This window comes from Homo sapiens, chromosome X (genome assembly GCF_000001405.40).
Source record: "Homo sapiens chromosome X, GRCh38.p14 Primary Assembly".
NCBI lineage: Eukaryota > Metazoa > Chordata > Mammalia > Primates > Hominidae > Homo > Homo sapiens.
Window position 1 is genome coordinate 72,263,965 of NC_000023.11, and position 20,082 is coordinate 72,284,046.

General features: G+C 44.9%; 1 protein-coding gene across 1 annotated transcript, besides 2 other annotated features; it reads right to left on the bottom strand.

The window, feature by feature from the left end:
* On the bottom strand, nucleotides 8,078-13,284 carry RPS4X (ribosomal protein S4 X-linked). The gene is made up of 7 exons (NM_001007.5): nucleotides 13,229-13,284; nucleotides 12,193-12,270; nucleotides 11,580-11,760; nucleotides 11,089-11,186; nucleotides 9,837-10,008; nucleotides 9,268-9,425; nucleotides 8,078-8,808 (listed from the first exon to the last, which is right to left on the bottom strand). Exons 1-7 carry the CDS (start codon nucleotides 13,229-13,231, stop codon nucleotides 8,707-8,709), a joined length of 792 nt encoding a protein of 263 aa, NP_000998.1. The 5' UTR covers nucleotides 13,232-13,284; the 3' UTR covers nucleotides 8,078-8,706.
* Nucleotides 12,784-12,863: an enhancer, noted in NCBI's record as "active region_29757". NCBI's record gives its function as "activates an Ori minimal core promoter by ATAC-STARR-seq in GM12878 lymphoblastoid cells {active_cell/tissue: GM12878}" and the evidence as "EXISTENCE:reporter gene assay evidence [ECO:0000049][PMID:35858748]".
* Nucleotides 13,034-13,103: an enhancer, noted in NCBI's record as "active region_29758". NCBI's record gives its function as "activates an Ori minimal core promoter by ATAC-STARR-seq in GM12878 lymphoblastoid cells {active_cell/tissue: GM12878}" and the evidence as "EXISTENCE:reporter gene assay evidence [ECO:0000049][PMID:35858748]".

Sequence of the window (20,082 nt, forward strand, 5' to 3'; positions counted from 1 at the left end):
ACTCAGAAGGTTGATGCAAGAGAAACACTTGAGGCTAGGAGTTCAAGACCAGCCTGGGCAACATAGCACAATCCTGCCTCTTTTTTGTTTGTTTTGTTTTTAGAGACAGGGTCTTGCTTTGTCACCCAGGTTGGAGTGCAGTGGTGCAATCATAGCTCACTGCCACCCTGAACTCCTGAGCTCAAGGGATCCTCCTTCCTCAGCCTCCCAAATAGCTGGGAATACAGGCACATACCCCCTTGCCTGACTAATTTTTTTTTTTTTGAGACAGAGTCTTGCTCTGTCGCCCAGGCTGGAGTGCAGTGGCGCGATCTCAGCTCACTGCAAACTCCGCCTCCCGGGTTCATGCCATTCTCCTGCCTCAGCCTCCCGAGTAGTTGGGACTACAGGCGCCTGCCACTGCGCCCGGCTAATTTTTTGTATTTTTAGTAGAGACAGGGTTTCACTGTGTTAGCCAGGATGGTCTCGATCTCCTGAGCTTGTGATCCGCCCACCCCGGCCTCCCAAAGTGCTGGGATTACAGGCGTGAGCCACCGCGCCCAGCAGCCTGGCTAATTTTTAAAAAACATTTTGGCTGGGTGCGGTGTTGCATGCTTGTAATCCCAACATTTTGGGAGCCCGAGGTGGGCAGATTGCTTAAACTCAGGAGTTTGAGACCAGCCTGCACAACATGGCAAAACCCCGTCTCTACAAAAAAAAAAAAAAAAAAAAAAAAAAAAATTAGCTGGGCATGGTGGCGTGTGCCTGTAGTCCCAGCTACTCAAGAGGCTGAGGTGGGAGGATTGCTTGAGCCCAGGAGGTCAAGGCTGCAGTGAGCCGAAATCAGTGCAGTGAGACCCCGTCTCAAGAAAAAAATTTTTTTTTTTTTTGTACAGGTGGGGTCTTGCCATCTTACCCAGGCTGGTTTTGAACTCCTGGGCTCAAGCAGTCCTCCTGCCATGGCCTTTCCAAAGTGCTGGAATTACAGGGATAAGCCACCATGCCCAGCCAAAAAATTCAAAAAAAAAAAAAAAAAAAAAAAAAAAAAAGCCGGGCGCGGTGGCTCACGCCTGTAATCCCAGCACTTTGGGAGGCTGAGGCGGGCGGATCCAGGGGTCAGGAGATCGAGACCATCCTGGCTAACACGGTGAAGCCCCGTCTCTACTAAAAATACAAAAAATTAGCCGGGCGTGGTGGCGGGCGCCTGTAGTCCCAGCTACTCGGGAGGCTGAGGCAGGAGAATGGCGTGAACCCGGGAGGCGGAGCTTGCAGTGAGCTGAGATCACGTCACTGCACTCCAGCCTGGGCGACAGAGCAAGACTCCGTCTCAAAAAAAACAAAAAAAAACAAAAATTCAAAAAAAAAACCCCACAAAAAACATATATATGTAAGTTTTGACAGAGCGAGACTGTCTCAAAAAAAAAAGGTAATAAATACTAAAATCTCATCACTTCCTCATTATTTTACTACATTTTACTACTCTCTATGATGCCCTTGAAGTTATTCACACCTGCTGTATCTGCATGGTGGAAATGCTATGTAATGGTGTGCTACGTTCATCTCCTCCCAACTCCTTGTTCAGTGACATGTTGGTAGCCTCAAATCAGCCATGGAAATGGGCAAACACTACAAATCAGAACTTGGCTAATTGTTTTGGTGATTGTCTAGTGTTAAGGAAGTGATGGAGAAAATGTTTAAAAATGCAGGTTAAACTTAGAAGTGTGCTGTCACTGTAGCCATTACATTGTGAATTGTACAAAAAAATTGCCAAGGGTGATGGCATGTGCCTGTAGTCCCAGGGGTATCACTTAAGCCCAGGAGTTCAAGGCTGCAGGGTGTTGTGATTGTGCCTGTGAGTAGCAGGGTGCACTCCCACCTGGGCAACAGAGTGAGACCTTGTCTCTAAAAATTAAAAAAAAAGTTAAAAATTAAGGAAATATTCTTTCAGTATTCAAGAACTATTCTCCAAGTCAGCAAAGAAGCTGCTCACATCATTGACAGATGAGTTGAAGTTCCAACATATATGTCTTTGTTGTTTCACTTTTGTCTTATTTGTTAATGCAAACAAAAATATCAACCAATACTCTCATGGGAGCTAACATTCTTTTGTCGATTGCAACCATAACCATAGGTTGGCTATGGATATGAGTTTGGCAAAAGTCAATAAAAGCATTCTATGAGAATCAACTGGCTACATGGACTTCACAATAAAGAGTTTTTTTAAATTTAATAATATTTTATTTATTTTTGAGACAGAGTCTCGCTTTGTCACCCAGGCTGGAGTACAGTGGCACGATCTTGGCTCACTGCAACCTTTGCTTCCTGGGTTCAAGCGATTCTTGTGCCTCAGCCTCCCAAGTAGCTGGGACCACAGGTGCCAGCCACCATGCCCGGCTAATTTTTGTATTTTTAGTAGAGATGGGGTATGGCCTTGTTGGCCAGGCTGGTCTCGAACTCCCGACCTCAGGTGATCCGCCCACCTCCCAAAGTGCTGGAATTACAGGTGTGAGCCACTGTGCCTGGCCCCTTTGGGCTTTAAAATTGATCTTTGTGTTTGGGGAATTTTCCAGGCTAAACAACCTGGAGCAGATGAGTGGATTTCGAATTTGGGAGAGAAAAGTCCTACCTGAAAAGATAGCATCACTCTTGGATAGCCAGTTTATGTTCAAGGGAACATGGAAATTAACTCCTTGGGTGGAGTCCCTCAGACCCAGCACTTGCCAACTTTTGGTACCAGGAACCCGAGGTCATGTCTGCAATGTACTTTAAAAACTTTTTTTTTTCCACGACACAGCCCTCAGGAGGTCCTGAGAACATGTGGCCCCCCACCCTCCCTTTTTTCTCCCAAGATGGAGTCTTGCTCTGTCACCCAGGCTGGAGTACGGTGGCATGATCTCGGTTCACTGCAACCTCCGCCTCCTGGTTTCAAGCGATTCTCTTGCCTCAGCCTTCTGAGTAGCTGGGATTACAGGCGCCTGCCACCACACCTGGCTTTTGTATTTTTAGTGGAGACAAGGTTTCACCACGTTGGCCAGGCTGGTCTCGAACTGCTGACCTCGCGATCTGCCTGCCTTGGCCTCCCAAAGTGCTGGGATTACAGGCGTGAGACACCGCACCCAGCCACCCCTTTCTTTTTTTAAAAAACTTTTGAGGCCGGGAGTGGTGGCTCATGCCTGTAATCAGAGCACTTCAGGAGGATGAGAAGGGCGGATCACCTGAGGTCAGGAGTTCGAGACAGCCTGGCCAATATGGTGAAACCGTCTCTACAAAATTACAAAAATTAGCCGGGCATGTGGCTCACGCCTGTAATCCCAGCTACTCGGGAGGCTGAGGCGGGAGAATCGCTTCAATCTGGGAGGTGGAGGTTGCAGTGAGCAGAGATTGCACCATTGCACTCCAGCCTGGGAAACGGGAGCGAAAGTCCATCTCAAAAAATTCTGAGACGGTCTCACTCTATCACCCAGGCTGGAACGCAGTGGCATAATCTTAGCTTACTACAACCTTCACCTTCTTGGCTCAAGTGATCCTCCCACCTCAGCCTCCTGTGTAGCTGTGACTAGATGCCAGTGCCATCACACCCAGCTAATTTTTTGTATTTCTTGTAGAGTTGGAGGGGTCTCCCTATGTTGCCCAGGCTCGTCTTGAACTCCTGGGCTCAAGAGATCCTCCCACCTTGGCTTCCCAAAGTGCTGGGATTTCAGGCGTGAGCCATCCATGCCCGGCTGCAATTTACTTTCAAAGTGTTCAGAAAAATAAGATGTTTGTGTACATATACAGGAATGAAAATAAAGCAAATATGGCAAAATGTTAACCATTATTGAATCCAGCTGGTGTCTATATAGGTAATCACTGTACTGCTGTTTCAACTTTCCTGTATACTTGAGAAAGTTCATAATATAAACTACAGTAAGAATCAGTGCAAAGTTCTGAGGCAAGAGAATGCCTCTTGTGTTCAAGAAACATCAAGGAGGCCAGTGTGGCTGGAACAGATTGACTCAGAGGGAACAGGTAGATGAGGTGAGGCCAGACTGTGAGGGCCTCGCAGGTTCTTATGGCTGTGGCTCTTAGTCTGAGTTGGGATAGATGGGAGCTCATTTAGGAGCATGAGTGAGGAGTGACCTGACCTGTCTTAAACAGGATCCCATTCGGCAGCTGGGTTGAGACTGTAGGGGTCAAGAATGGAAGCCAAGAGACCCGTTATGGGTTGGTGCTATCTATAATCTAGAGTGCAGGTAAGAGTTGTTGGTGGCTCAGACCAGGGTGGTAGTGATGCAGGTGATAAGTGGTCTGATATTATCTGGGAGGAGGGCATACACTGTGCTATTTATTTGTTCCTTTATATGTTTATTATGAAAAATCTCAAAGATATATAGGAGTAGAGAGCGTAATGAATCCCCTCTATCCATCGTTCACCTTCAACATTATCAGTACATGGCCATTTTTATTTATTTTTGAGTCAGGGTCTTGCTCTGTTACCCAGGCTGGAGTGCAGTGGCAATCATAGTTCACTGTAGTCTCAAATTCCTGGGCTCAAGCTATCCTCCCACCTCAGCCTCCCAAGTAGCTTCAACTATAGGTGAGAACCAACATGCTCAGCTAATTTTAAAAATTTTTGTAGAGATGGTGGTGTATCTCTCTACATTGCCCAGACTGGTCTTGAACTCCTGGCCTCAACTCCCATCTTGGCCTCCCAAAGAGCTGGGATTACAGGCATGAACCATTGCACCCAGACTTGAAGCAAATTTCAGATTGCTTGTCATTTCTTCTGCAAATCCTTCAGTATGTATCCTCAAAGATAAGGACTCTGTAAAAAGCTGTATGATTGTGCAAAATTGAGCAATTATTTCTAAGTATCACTAAATATGGATTCTGGACATATTTTGAAGGTAGAGTCACCAGGATTTTCTGATAAAAGGAACAGGAATCAAGGATGTGTCCAAAGCTTTTGGCTGGAGCTTGATGGGGACACTATAAACAGACTGACAGGCCAGAGGGAGGTATCACTCTTCTCTATCTGGTTTAGGGAAAAGAATACAGGATTTGGGTATCAAAAAATCAAAATGGCTTTGTAAACTATCAAGTACTATATATGTCCTAGCTATTTGTTATTCTTCTTATTCAAAGCTGTGCTGCATTGTGCTGCTCTGACTCAGATGTGAGGCCTAGCCTGCTGGAGGCACAGGGATGTAAACTAAACCCGGTGAATTTCTGCTAGCTTCAGTCTGTTTCATCTCAGGACTTCTGTTTGGCTCCCTGCTGAGATGATCTCAAAGGTTTCCTTCAGCTCTAAGAATATGAAGCAAATTGGAAGGCTTAAAAAGCCTTACAAAGACACAAGCTATTTTATTTGGAAATTTGCAGCTCATTTAGATGATTCAGGGCCCTTGCGCTAAGTCCACTTGCCTGGTATTAGAATGGAAATCTTCCCCACTATGGGAAGTTGCTAGTAAAAAAAAAATTCCCGGCCGAGTGCCGTGCTCATGCCTGTAATCCCAGCACTTTGGAAGGCCAAGGTGGGCAGATCACCTGAGGCTGGGTATTCAAGACCAGCTGGACCAACATGGAGAAACCCCATCTCTACTAAAAACACAAAATTAGCCAGGCGTGGTGGCACATGCCTGTAATCCCAGCTACTCAGGAGGCTGAGACAGGAGAAACGCTTAAACCTGGGAGGCGGAGGCTACCCTGGGCCGAGATCACGCCATTGCACTCCAGCCTGGGCAACAAGAGCGAAACTCTGTCTCAAAATAAACAAAACAAAAAAATCCCTGTGCTAGTTTAACAAATACATTAAAAAATCACAAGTTTAAAATGTTGAAAAGAAATCTCCCAGGCTAGGCTCAGTGGTTCTTGCTTGTAATCCCAGCACTTTGAGAGGACCACTTGAGCCCAGGAGTTTGAGACCAGCCTGGGCAATATAGCAAGACCCCAATCTCTACAAAAAAACAAAAAATTAGCCAGGCATGGTGGTGTGCTCCTGTAGTCCCATCTACTCAGGGAGCTGAGGTGGGAGGATCACTTGAGCCTGGGACGTCAAGGCTGCAGTGAGTCATATCCTGCCACTGCACTCCAGCCTGGGTGACAAAGTGAGATCCTGTCTCCAAAAAATAAAATAAAATAAAATAAACAAAACCCCACATCTCCCTGTGATACGAGACCACAGCTGAACACACCAATTCTCCAGTTGTGCTGACTGGCTCACCAATTAACATCTAGGAAACCATCATATATGTGAAAGGAACTCTGAGGCTTCTCATTTTCCTCCATATTTGCTTTGGTCCCTTAGCTAAAATTCACATTTCTATCATCTGCTGAGCAGAGATTTTAGTACCTAGAAAGGTGCAAAGTGTAGCCAAGGATGTGTTGAGTAGTGTAGCACCAAGAGCCTACCAGCATTCAGGACCCTGCATCCAGGTGACTGGCTGGAGTCCTGCCCTCTGGCCTTTCATAGTCTCGCCTGTCTGTTTTAAGACAGGGTTTCACTCTCACCCAGGCTGGAGTACAGTAGCACAATAATGGCTCACTGCAACCTCCATTCCCCAGGCTCCAGTGATCTTCCCACCTCAGCCTCCCAAATAGCTGGGACCAAAGATGCATGACACCATGCCCGGCTAATTTTTGGTAGACAAGGTTTTGCCATGTTATGCAGGCTAGTTTCAAACTCCTGGGCTCAGTCGATCCACCTGCTTTGGCCTCTCTCAGTGCTGGGATTATAGGTGTGAGTCACCACGCCCGGCTCACCTGCCTGTTTCTGAAGGGCACCATAAGGTTACTTCTGACCTGGCCTCAACAGAACAAGGATGAGCTCCATTCTCTTGACAAGAGAACCATTCTTAAAGCAAGATACCTGGCAAGCCCACTTACACACCTTTCCCATCCCTGATTCAGGGGGGCCCAGTCCCTGCAGAAATTCCTTTTCTGGCCCAGGTACAGTGGCTCACACGTGTAATCCCAGCACTTTGGGAGGCCAAGGTGGGAGGACCACTTGAGCCCAGGAATTCAAGACTGGCGTGGGCAATGTAGCAAGACCTTCTCTACAGAAACAAATTAATTAAATTAATTTGGCATCACAGTGCGTGCCCATAGTCCCAGTTACTCAGGAGGCTGCGGCTGGAGGATCGCTTGAGCCCAGGAGTTTGAAGCTGCAATGAGCTATGACTGAACCATTGCACTCCAGCCTGGGTGACAGAGCAAGACGCTGTCTTTAAAAAAAAAAAAAAAAAAAAAAAAAAAAAAAAAGTGAATGGGACCCCAGCCAGTCATGCTTTGGCGTCTGCAATATGAATGGCAGAGAAGCCCTATGGGACCAAATCTGGGCTTCAGGGACCCCTGGGCATGCCTCCTTTAGCTGATTTTCTCTGGCAAGACCAAGTAGTCTGCTGACTCAAAGTCCAGGATGCTGCCAGGGGTAGAGATACTGCCCTAAGCCACAGTGCCTCTACAGGCCTCTTATCCACTGCTAAACCATACACCTGGGAAACAGGGACCATTTAACATTCCCAGCTAAATATGCCAAGTGACTTCACATGTTTATCTTAAAGATGTCCAAAACGCAACTGATTTTCTCCCCTAAACCTGTGATGGTGGGATGATTAAGCCTGAGTGGTCTACAGCAAGTTAAGTGCAAGGTGCTAAATGAAGGTGACCTGAGATACAGCATCTACAAGGCAGTACCTCTCAACACAGGGCAACTTTGCTTCTCAGAGGGCATTTAGCAGTGTCTGAAGTAATTTTTGTATTACAACTCAGGGGGTGGGGGGTGAATATCTAGTGGATAGAGGCTAGGAATGTTGTTAAACATTCCACAATAAACAGGACAGCTGCCCACAAATTATGTAGCCCCAAATGTTAACAGTATCAAAGTTGAAAAGCCCTGCTATAGGTGGCAAGGGAGGTTTTCGTTTTTAACAGGAAGACATGCTTTATAGGGTAACAGGAACAAGAGAGTTGGTTGAGAGAAGGTTGAAATCACAAGGTAGGATAATTGACACTGAGACTGGAGGGACTGGATTGAGGAACAGGTGTGTAACAGCAGGCCCCATGAAGCAGGGGCACATCTTCCTGAGACTGGTAAGCAAGCCTGACATGACCCGACACATTTGGACAAGCAAGAACAAGTTTATGTTCTACATCTCTGTCCTCTGAAAAACAGAGTTGAGGACTGCAGCGGCAGCTGGAGAATAAGGGCACTAAGTCCAAGGAACTGCAATGCTTTGCAACATCAACAGCCCATTTATGACCACCTTTAATGGCAACTGGAGATTTTCATCCTGCGTTTGGCAAGATGGGCACAGGAGTGGGAAAAACAGATGAGCCAGGCTTGTGGATGGGCTAGTGCAATACAGACTGGAGAAGAAAATGAGGGCAGATTTTTAGAAAGCCAAGGGAACTTAACAGGGCAGAGGGGTCCACTGTGTAGAGAAGTTCTTGGCCAAGTCAAGGCGGGGGAGATAAATACTCCGGGATTTCTTGGCTCTTTCTACTCCTTGGTTAGTTGCTGTTCCTTTCCCAAGTCTGGTATCTTCTACTTCCCACCACTAACTAAGCCCAGCCAATAACAGACTGCCTAAGCCTGCCTGAGAACTTAATCACTGTTCATGTTATACAGTAAAATAGCAGGAAACTGAATTAAAAAAAAAAACAACCCACAAAACCAAAATGCTATTAATCCTGCCACAATATTTTTAATTACGTACAAAGATCTGACATGTCACCCAGGGACCCATTTCACCCACTGCTCTGTTTGGCCGCCAGTCTTTTGTCTCTCTCTTCAGCAATGGTGAGGCGGATACCCTTTCCTCGGGGAAGAGAAATCCATGGTTTGTTGCCCTGGAAGAGAAAACAAGCAGAATCAAAACCCACCACACACCAACTCATAGTGGCTTGGCACATGCTACATTTGTCACCTCACTTAACAGAACTGAAGCCTGTTTGTGAGAGTGCTTGGCATCAGCTAGGCAGTTGCAAGACACAGATGCTGGTTACCAAAAGCACCCACTGCTTGGGTTTCTGGGGCTGTCCTATGAAACTCACCGTATGCCCTTCAGAATTAATGTCTTAGAAGTTTATTGTGCATAGCAGGCACCTACCATTTATTCAAGTGAGTCAAAGTTTAGTAGTACCTAAGGCTAATCATTATGACTCAGCCCAGCTCTGCGTGAGTCCTATCCAGAAGAGGCTTTGCACTAGGTTCAGCAGAGCCAGCCAGGAGCCTGGATGCTACAATCCCAGCAGCCACCTGCATTTACATATTTCCTCAGACTAGAGAGAAGGAAAACCCAGACTTACCTTGCCAATAACAAAAATGTTGGAAAGTCGAGTGGCAAAGCTGTTGCCATTGGCATCTTTCACGTGAACCACGTCAAAAGATCCAGGGTGCCTCTCTCTGTTGGTGATCACACCAATTCTTCCTAGGTTAGCACCTCCAGTCACCATACACAGGTTACCTAGGCAGGAAGAAATAATCTGCTTCAACTCAATATAACAAATGACAAGCAGCTCAGAGATGGGTCCAAACAAATTTTATTCCTCCTTTCCCCCCATTTGAATTTCCTCATATGGAACTGCTGCCTATGCTAGGACTCCCGGGACTCTCGTAAGAAATTTTGTGGCCAGGCTTGGTGGCTCACACCTATAATCAGTTCGAGAACAGTCTGGGCAACACAGTAAGACCCTCCTCTATAAAAAACAAACAATTTAAAGAAAAGAAATGAGTATTCTGAGCATTTGTGCCTCTGGCTATAAACACACCTGGGCGATTGGAGCAGATGGTTTTTAATAAAGATACCCAGACCCTGTGCAATTCATAATGATCTAGGCCTTAAAGAGGGTGCCCAGGTAGCACAGAGGATGCTTACCAGTGTCGAACTTGATGAAATCAGTAATCTTGCCAGTCTCCAAATCAATCTGAATGGTATCATTCACCTTGATGAGGGGATCGGGGTAGCGGATGGTGCGGGCATCATGAGTCACCAGATGAGGGATTCCTTTTGTGCCCACAAAGATCTTTCTCACTTTGCACAACTTGTACTAGAAAAATACAAGGGTTAGCCACATTCAATCCATCTCACATGTACTTTTTAACCCTATACAGGAACCATGGGTTCCCTAACTGCTGCAGATTAATTGTGACGCTGATCGTTCTTTCCACCCTCAAGTGTATGTTGCATAAAGCCCTTCTCTAGGCTCGTCCTCCTAACATCCACCATTGCCCTCCACTCCTCCAATGTAAATGCCACTCCAGTTTCCCAGGCTCTTTAAGCCTTATGGGGCCCTGGGAATTCTTCCCTTCAACTCAACTTTATCTTAATGGCTCCCTGTACATCACGACTGAGTTTTGTCTCACAAACAGCAATTACATTACCAGTTCATCCAATCAACAAATACTTCACATAGCATTTCAATTTTGGATCTCTACTCCCTGATATCCTTGAAGTAAATCAAATAATCACAGATCCCACTGGACGTGCCCTCCAGTCTGCTGTTAACAAGGCTGTGCAAAAGGAAATTAGGAGCCACATCAGTCAATTAAATTAACCTTCATTTACAGCCAATAATCCAAACAGCCCTAAACTTTTGTGTAAAACCATCAAAACAAACTGGATTAAATAATCAAAGACTGTAATCTTTTTTTAAACCTCAAACTAGTGCCTCAAGGACTGTCTGTTTCCTCCATCGACACCTTCCCCTCCCCAAAGTAAAGCTACTCCCACAAATGGAGACATGGCAAAGGGCTCCTACGTCAGGTACCCAATAAACAAGTTCCCAGAAATCATTCTCCTTGACTCTTAAGAGACACCAGGAAGTCGCGGTTCAACTGGAATTCATTTCTACCACAAAAAAAGAAAATCTGCTGAGGAAGTTAACTTCAAATGGGGGCCAATTTTAGGTATCCATCAATGCCCTACAGCTATCAGCCAGACTTTTAATAACATGACAAAAAGTTACATGTAAGACAGAATCTCATCGAATTGTTAGCTAGATATTTCCAGGTATGAGATTTTAACTAATCAATACCCACCTCATTGCAAGCAGCACTCGTACTCAATGCAGGCCCTTAGAACAAAGTAACTATACTGAGTAAAGACCCAGCTTGCTTGCCACACTCACCTTGGCCTCCTCAGGTGTAATACGATGTACAGCAAAGCGACCCTTGGTGTCATAGATCAGACGGAAATTCTCTCCCGTCTTGTCAATGCTGATGACATCTGAAATCAAGCAGTAACCGGTTACTACATACAGTGATCCCCACTACCTCATGCCGAGCAACAACCATAGCTCTCTACGAAACAAAAAGAACCCCCATGTGCCTCCCAGTTCTAATCCAACAAGGATTCTGAAGATTAAAGATCACGGCCAGATCTTCAATATTTCAAAACCCCATGACTGCATGTAAAATTTAAAAGTGAATCGAAATTTAGTTTTGAAAAGCGTTTCATGATTATTTGCATGTTTTTTATTTAAGTAAAAAACAGAGGGAAGGTCAGGCTTTGTTTCTGAGACTTGACAGATTACAAAGGTTAGAAAAATGATCAAGACAGTATTTGGATACCATAGGGCTGCCATCAATATGCGTCTCCAGAGTATTTAAAACTTCTTACCCATGAATCCAGCAGGGTAGGTTATATCAGTTCGGACCTTGCCATCGATTTTAATGAACCGCTGCATGCAAATCTTCTTTACTTCATCTCCTGTCAGGGCATACTTAAGTCTGTTCCTCAGGAAAATGATGAGGGGGAGACACTCTCTCAACTTGTGGGGACCGGTGGATGGACGAGGAGCCTGTAACGTTAAAAATGATAATCACTGTTGGGATTCACTAAAGCACTCAAACCTACCTCCTAGTCCACCAGATCCACTAACTGAACACCAAGACCGTCCATATTACACCCAACTTGGACTTTTACACAGGAGGTGTAAAAAGCATCCAAAACTATTTCATACCTTAAAGTTTTATAGCATCTTCCCTGTCAGAGGACCAGGATCATTAAGAACATGAATCCTGAGTCCATGTAAATGTACTATGTGGTATGTGGAATAAATGAGGCACAAAAATATTAAATCGATTGGAAGTGGAGGACAGCTAGATAGTATAGCTCCTTCAAGGGCAGAGGAAGCCAAGAATAGATATTCCTCCCCTAGCCTGGTCCCCAAATGAGTCCTGGGAGACACTTAAAAACAGTGGCCACGGAAATATTTATATAAGATACTTACAAACACACCGGTCAATTTATCCAGCATCCAATGCTTTGGAGCTGCCACCCGCTTCAGATGCTTCTTGGGACCACGAGCCTGAAAGTTTTAGATTGCAATGCTGTTAATCAGGTTTCAGAACAGCTTATAAAACCTAGTGTGAAACTAAACTCTTAGTTTAGTTTCATCTTCAGCAAAATGTGGACAATATTAAAGTATAGTGTTCCGATAAAACAGAAACAAACACAGTTATTTAACAAACACCGTGAGATCCATAAGCTGCAACAAGCCTTCTTATTGTAACAGAGAATATTCTTGGTTACTATGTTTCAGAACGTTTACTGATTACTATCTTTCAGAACCTTGCTAAAGTGTTTCCATGTTACTGTTTGAAACTGTATCTGCTTAGAGGTTAGGGTCTTTCAAGAACACCATACTAGTGAAACGCACAGCAACAGAAATGAGCCAGGAGTCTACCTGTGTTTCTAAAGTTTTCACAATTTATTACCGTCTGTTTTTGACACGTATGGAACAAGATTCTGACATCCGCACAAACACATGTGCTGCTCCTTCGTACACTAAAGCCAAAAGCTGACACCAATTTTACTTTAAAAAGAGTAAGGAAGCCTTTTTAATGCTGTGTCCAGATGCTTACCGGCCACGTATGGTAAAGTCAGGCCGTGCCAAAAAGGCAATGACAAAGAAAACCTTTCTCCGCCGGGCACCCCCAGCGCCCACCAACCTCGGGCTCGCAGTCTGAGCTCCTGGCCCAGCCGCGGCTCCGGCCCGGGAGGAAAAGCAGCTTCTCCCGGGATCAGGACGTATGGCCGGGTCAGAAACCGAGGCCTTCCCAACAGCAGCACCAGATCTGCGCCTCCCCAACCCTAGGCCAGCGTTCGCCCTTCGCCCTGGAGCCCGTCCCGGCCTACCACGGAGGCCGTGATCCCTTCGCCTCTGCCCGGCCATCCCCAGTAGGAATCCCGAAACCTCGGGCAGCCCCGGCCGGGGGAGGATGGAGGCGGATACGTCCTAAGAGCTCGCTAACTAAACGGCTTACCATGGCTGCGTTAGGCAAGGAAAGAGGACCTCCGTCTTCCGGTGCGCGTAGAAATTGGGGCTGGAGACTGCGCGCGCCGGATTTTCAGCTGCTCCGCCCAGCTCAGCCCTTTGCTGGCGCGCCGGGACTCTTTCTTGCCATCTGCTGGTGGGAGGTCAGAAGTCCCGAGTTGAGGAACCGCCGCGGAAAGAGGGTGTCTCCTAAGGGCGATTTCCTCCCTCCCCTTTTTCCGCCCTTCCTCCTCCCATATTTGCTGAGCGCCTCTTGTGTGCCTTATTCTGTGCTAGGTGCTGGGAATACAAAGATGAGCTACACAACATCCCTGGCCTCAAGGAGAGTTCAAAGTGAGCTTACTTCCAGTCTCACGTACAGATGATTCTACGCCTGTAATCCCAGCACTTTGGGAGGCCGAGGCGGGCGGATCATGAGGTCAGGAGATCGAGACCATCCTGGCTAACACAGTGAAACCCCGTCTATACTAAAAAAAAATACAAAAAAATTAGCCGGGCATAGTGGCGGGCGCCTGTAGTCCCAGCTACTCGGGAAGCTGAGGCAGGAGAATGGCGTGAACCCCGGAGGTGGAGCTTGCAGTGAGCCGAGATCGCGCCACTGCACTCCAGCCTGGGCGACAGAGCGAGACTCCGTCTCAAAAACAAAACAAAACAAAACAAAACAAAGAACTTGTATATAATCAATAGAATACATTTTAATAAATATTTAATGTTATTTCTTAAACGTATTTTGTCTGTCCCTTTTTTGTGTTCCCTTGAGCCAGCCAGGCAGCCCATACTGAGTTGGGAAGAGCCAACAACGTTTTTAACCCCCTCTTGCTTCTCTGCTTGAACTCTGACATCCTCCCCCTTGCTTCCTGTACAACGCATTTGGCACTTATAGAGACTCAGGGAGGAGAGAGGATATTAGAAATCGTCTGGTTATATCTAACTAAAATGTAGATCTGATCCTGCTTCGAAACTGCCCTTGGCCCTCTGTTTCCTGCCGTAAGGGAGCAGGTCTGAACTTTATCTGGCTCCATTGCTCTCTCTCCCCAATCCCAAACTTCAAAGCTCAAGCCCCACCAAGCTAGTTTGTTCCGAGGGAGTCAGCTCTTTTTGTTTGTTTGTTTGGGAGACAGGGTCTCACTCTGTCACCCAGGCTGTAGTGCATGGCTCACTGCAGCCTCGACAGACAGCCCGGGCTCAAGCGATCCTCTCACTTCAGCCCCCACGAGTAGCTGGGACAACAGGCGCACGCCACTGCACCCAACTAATTTTTTGTAGTTTTATTTTTTTGTAGAGACGGGGTTTCGCCATGTTACCTAGGCTGGTCTCAAACTCCTGGACTCAAGCGATCCGCCCGCCTCGACCTCCCAAAGTGCTGGGATTACAGGCCTGAGCCACTGCGCCTGGCTAGAGTCAGCTCTTTCAAGACTGCTTGTGGACTCGATTCCTTAGCTTGGAACTGCCACAAACAGCCAAACCCCCTTCCTGGGTACCACCTAATCCCACACCTCAGCCTTGGAAATGCACAGTTCAAGTCCCTCTGGTTCTGTGGGCTCGTGGTCCCCTCAGTCAGGGTAAATCCCTCATTCTTGCCCCAGAGGCTTGTGTTCAAACTTGGTGAGGGCACACAGCACATTAGGTAGCAAGGACAAATTTAGTTACCTGGCCTCCACCAAACTGAGCACCTCCAGGATGGAGCCTGCCCTAATTCATCTGGGCAGGCCCCTTGCCACTGAACAGAGAGCTCGGCACTGTGTCCAGCACTTGATAAATACTTGTTGAATGAATAAACGGAGTCAGCATCCCACTTATTGTGCCAAGTCCTACTGTACTATCCCTGAGAGCATCCAGCCTGTGCCTGAATTCTTCCCACCATGAGATCAAGCTCCTAACTCATGAGGTTCCATTTCACAAGTCTCTATCTGTACCATCCACTTTACCCCTCAGCAGTCTGCAGAGGAGCAAGAGAGGGAAACATTGTTGGCTCTTCTCAAGCAGACAGTATTAACCAAGCAGACAGTATTAACTAAGAGGGCAGGAACTCCTCCTTGTCTAAAACTGGGATACAATCCACAATAAAGCATGTTATAAGTGATTATTGGAAAGGATCGATTAATTGGAGGTGAGGAGTAGAGAGAAGGTGAAGGTGATGAGATAATGGAAGTTGGTTCTGAGGTTTTTAATCTGAGAGCACTGGGAAGATGGTGGTACAATTAACAGAAATGGTGGAGAAGTTGCTGTGGGAGTGGGGGGATAACCATGTGCTTTCCAGCTAGAGAGGATAGGAGAAATGGCTGGTTAGAGCTGCAGATCTCACTTAATCAAGATCACACAGCCCGTTTGGGGATGAGGGGACTTGTCTCTTGCCTCCCAGGTGAGTGGTTTGTTTTTATGCCATAGGTTATCAAAGGACTTGAGGAAATCAAAGCATCTTTTTCAGTATATTTCTCTCTCTCAATTTGTATTTATGCACAAATGACATTCTAACAACAATAAAGGAAATTTGGAAAGAGCTAAGTAAATCGCAAACAGTACCTCCCCAAACACCCTAAACACATCATCTGTATTCATTTGTTCCTCTTCCTGTTCTCTTTCTGATCGGCTTGTGTGCATGCATACTTTTACATAATTTTAGTCCTAGCATACAGACCATTTTGTATTCTGTTTTTATTATATTAGAAACACTTTCCAAGTTGCTGCATAATCCTCATAATTACTACTTTAACAGCTGTATCATATTCCATTAAGTGGATGTCCCACAATTAATACAAGTTCTCTGTTGTTGGACATTTAGTTTTCTGTACTTTTTCTCTATTATGCGTGTTGCTACAGTGAACAGCTTTTTCCTTCAGTTGAATATTTTCCTTAGAATAAATCTATTCCTTCAACCAACACTTATTGAGTGCTTACTCTGTGTCAAGCTCTGCATTATGAACTGAGGATGCAGAGATTATTAAGATCTAGTTCTTGCTCTCAAGGAACAAATAATAATATGAGAAGCAGGCTGCGGGGGTGGGGAGGGAAAGCTAGGAGAAGCTTATCGGAGAAAAAAATGGTGGTGAAGCGGGTTGTAATACAGAGGGCAGCTAAATCTTTAGGATCTTGGACTTTAGCCTGTGGGTAGACAATGGAGAGCTGTTGAAAGATTTTAAGGAGGACAGAATCAGTGTTGTGCTTTAAAAAGATAACTCAAACTCCTCCACGTAGAATGGTTTGAAGGAAATGTGAGTGGCTTGGAGGACATGGGTCAGGTCTCTGTCAACAATACAAGCAAGAAACTGAAGGCTGCTGAGACCTAGATTTGTGACTCTGGGGCTGAGGAGGAGGGGGCTCAAAGACTCAAAAGACATTGCAGATGGAGTATTGGCAGGATCTGACTGGGAAATGATGAATGTGCAGGGGTGAGGGACAACGAGGTAATTAGGATGACTCCCAGGTTTCTGGCTTGGTGACTCAGTGATGCATTCACCGGAACAAGGAGGAGGCAGAGGAGTGTGCTTGAGGAGAAGATGAGGAGATGAGTCTGAGACACAGGGCTGAGGGTGCGGGGGAACATCAGCCTGGAGATATCTTATAGACCCAGTCCTGAGCTCAGGCGCATGATCTGGGCTGGAGACTCAGATGTGGGAGAAGTGGTGCATCTGTGATTAATTCAGGGGAGTGGTTGGCAGTAACCCTTAGAAAGAGAGCACTGTGTCAAAGAGTCTGAATCCTTTTGTAGTAGCATATGTGTATTGCCAAAAAGCCTTTCTCGGAGGATTCTTGCAATTTTACTATACTCGTGCCAGCCTGGTAATCACCTATTTTTAACTTTTGCTAATGTAATTATTTTAATTTACACTAAAAAATCTCAACTAGGCCGGGTGCAGTGGCTCATGACTGTAATCCCAGCACTTTGGGAGGCCAAGGCAGGCGGATCACTTGAGGTCAAAAGTTCGAGACCAGCCTGGCCAACATGGTGAAACCCCATCTCTACTAAAAATACAAAAAATTAGCAAGGCGTGGTGGCATGCACCTGTAATCCCAGCTACTCGGGAGGCTGAGGCAGGAGAATCGCTTGAACCCTGGAGGCAGAGGTTGCAGTGAGCTGAGATCGTGCCACTGCACTCCAACCTGGGTGACAGAGTGAAACTCCATCTCAAAAAAAAAAAAAGCCACTAGTGAGGTTGAATATTTTGCCACATGCTTGTTTACTCATTCCATTTCCTCTTGTGTGAAGTATCTCTGGCCATTTATCTTTGGGGACATGTTTTTTGGGTAGATTTCCATGAATGCTTTATAAAATATAGACATTAATCCTTTGTCATACCAATTGGTTATTTTCTTTTTGGTTGTACTTTTCAGTGTACAAACTTTCAGGATTTTATATAGCCAAATCTGTTGATCTTTTCTCTTGTAATCTCTTCTTGTTCCTTCAAAGCTTAGAAAGCTGCTATCAGTTCAAAGATCTATTAGATACTCAATTCTATTTAATAACATATATTTAATTTTTTATTAACTTGGGGTTGATAAAGATAAATAGAATAAATAGAAAAAAATTATATTTCCCCCCAAATGTTAGCTAACCGACATTCTTACTATAATATATTGAATGATCTTTCCTCTGTTGTTTTGTAAAAACCGCTTTAGCATATAATAAATGAAATCACAGAGTACATGGTTCTAGTTCTGTAAGTGTGGGAATGGGAGATGAGTCTTTGAAGAGAGAACTGAGACACACGTCCCCAGCATCCTGTCCCAGATTACTAAGGAGGATAGACGTGTATGAGCAGTTCATGGTAGTAGTGTTGGAATTACAGGCCTATGCCACTACATCTAGCCTTAAACTTATTTTTAAAACAGCTTTACCAGCCAGGTGCGGTGGCTCATGCCAGTAATCTCAGAACTTTGGGAGGCTGAGGTGGGCAGATCGCTTGAGCCCAGGAGTTTGAAACCAGCCTGGGCAACATAGCAAGACCCCATGTCTACAAATAAAAATAAACAAAATTAGCCAGGCATGGTGGCCCACACCAGCAGTCCCAGCTACTCTGGAGGCTGAGGTGAGAGGATCAAAAAACAAAACAAACAAACCAAAACACAAGCTTTACTGAAAAATACTTGACATACAATAAATAGTAAGTGTTTAAAGTACACAATTTGACAATTCTGATGCATGTATACACCCAAAGAAACCATCACAACTATGATAGTGAACATGTCTATCACCAACAAAAGTTTCCTCATGTGCCTTTGTAATCCCTCACTCCAGCCCCTCCCATCCCCACTCCTATTCCCAGGCAACTGCTGATCTGCTTTCTCTGACTATTGATGAGTTTGCATTTTTTAGATTTTTAAATAATAGAAATAAATAGAAATCAAACAGTATGTACTCATTTTGGTCTAGTGTCTTTCACTCAGCATAATTATTTTGAGGCTCATCTATGTTGTTGCGTGTATCAATAGTTTAGCTTCTTCTTTTTATTGCTGACTAGTACTCCATTGTATGGATAAACATTAATTATTTACCCATGATAGACATGTGGGTTGTTTCCAGTTTGGGGCAATTACCACAATGCTGCTATGAATGTTCACATACGAGTATTTTTATGGACAATGTTTTCATTTCTCTCGGGCAAATAACTAAGAGTGGAATGGCTAGGTCATATGGTAGGTGCATATTTAACTTTTATAAAAATTGCCAAAATGTTTTTCAAAGTGGCTTGTGTCATGTTACACTCCCATCAGCAGTGTATGAGAATTTCAGTCGCTCCACATCCTTGTCAACGCATATTAAGGCCCATCTTTAGAAAACATTTTTATTGTGATGAAATATACATAACATTTTTTTGAGGCCTGGTGCAGTGGCTCATGCCTATAATTCCAGCACTTTGGGAGGCCGAAGCAGGCAGATCATGAGGTCAGGAGTTCGAGACCAACTTGACCAACATGGTGAAACCCCGTCTCTACTAAAAATACAAACGTTAGCCAGGCATGGTGGTGTGTGCCTGTAATCCCAGTTACTCAGGAGGCTGAGGCAGGAGAATAACTTGAACCCAGGAGGTGGAGGTTGCAGTGAGCCAAGATCATGCCACCGCACTCCAGCCTGGGAGACAGAGCAAGACCCCATCTCAAATAAATAAATAAATAAATAAATAAATAAATAAATAAATAAATTTATTTGCCATTTTGGCCATTCTTACATATACAATTCCTTGGCATTAAGCACATTCACAATGCTGTGCAATCATCACCACTAGCCAGTTCCAGAATTTTTTTTATTTTCCCAAGCAGAAACTCAGTACCCATTAAAAAATAACTCCCCATTTCCCATACCCTTAACCCCTGGTAACCTCTATTCAACTTTCTGTCTCCATGAATCTTCTCATTCTAAGTATCTCATATAGGAGGAATAATAAATATTTGTCCTTTTGTATCTGGGTTGTTTCACTTATCAGAATATCTTCAAGGTTCATCTACATTGTAGCATGTATCAGAATTTCATTTTTATGTCTGTTAATATTCCATTGTATGCATATGCCACATTTTGTGTATCCATGATCTGTTGATGTACACTTGGGTTGTTTCCATGTTTTGGCTATTGTGTATAATGCTGCTATGAATGTTGGTATACAAGTATCAATTTGAGTTTCTGCTTTCAATTCTTTTGGATATAAACCCAGAAGTGGAATTGCTGGATCATATGGTAATTGTATGCTTAAGTTTTTGAGGAACTGCCAGACTCAGTGGCTGCATTATTTCACATTTCCCCCAGCAATGCACAGGGTTCCGAATTTCTCCATGTGCTCACCAACACTTGTTATTTTCCATTTTTGTTTTTCATAATTGCCATACTAACGGGTATGAAATGGTATTGCA

Bases quoted from the DNA above. Each gene is read 5' to 3' on its own strand.
- RPS4X (NM_001007.5), bottom strand. The intron at 11,761-12,192 runs GTAAGTATCTTA...TTAACGTTACAG, and splicing joins ATAAATTGACCGGTGTGTTT to GCTCCTCGTCCATCCACCGG. The intron at 9,426-9,836 runs GTAAGCATCCTC...CTTCCTGCCTAG, and splicing joins TTTCATCAAGTTCGACACTG to GTAACCTGTGTATGGTGACT.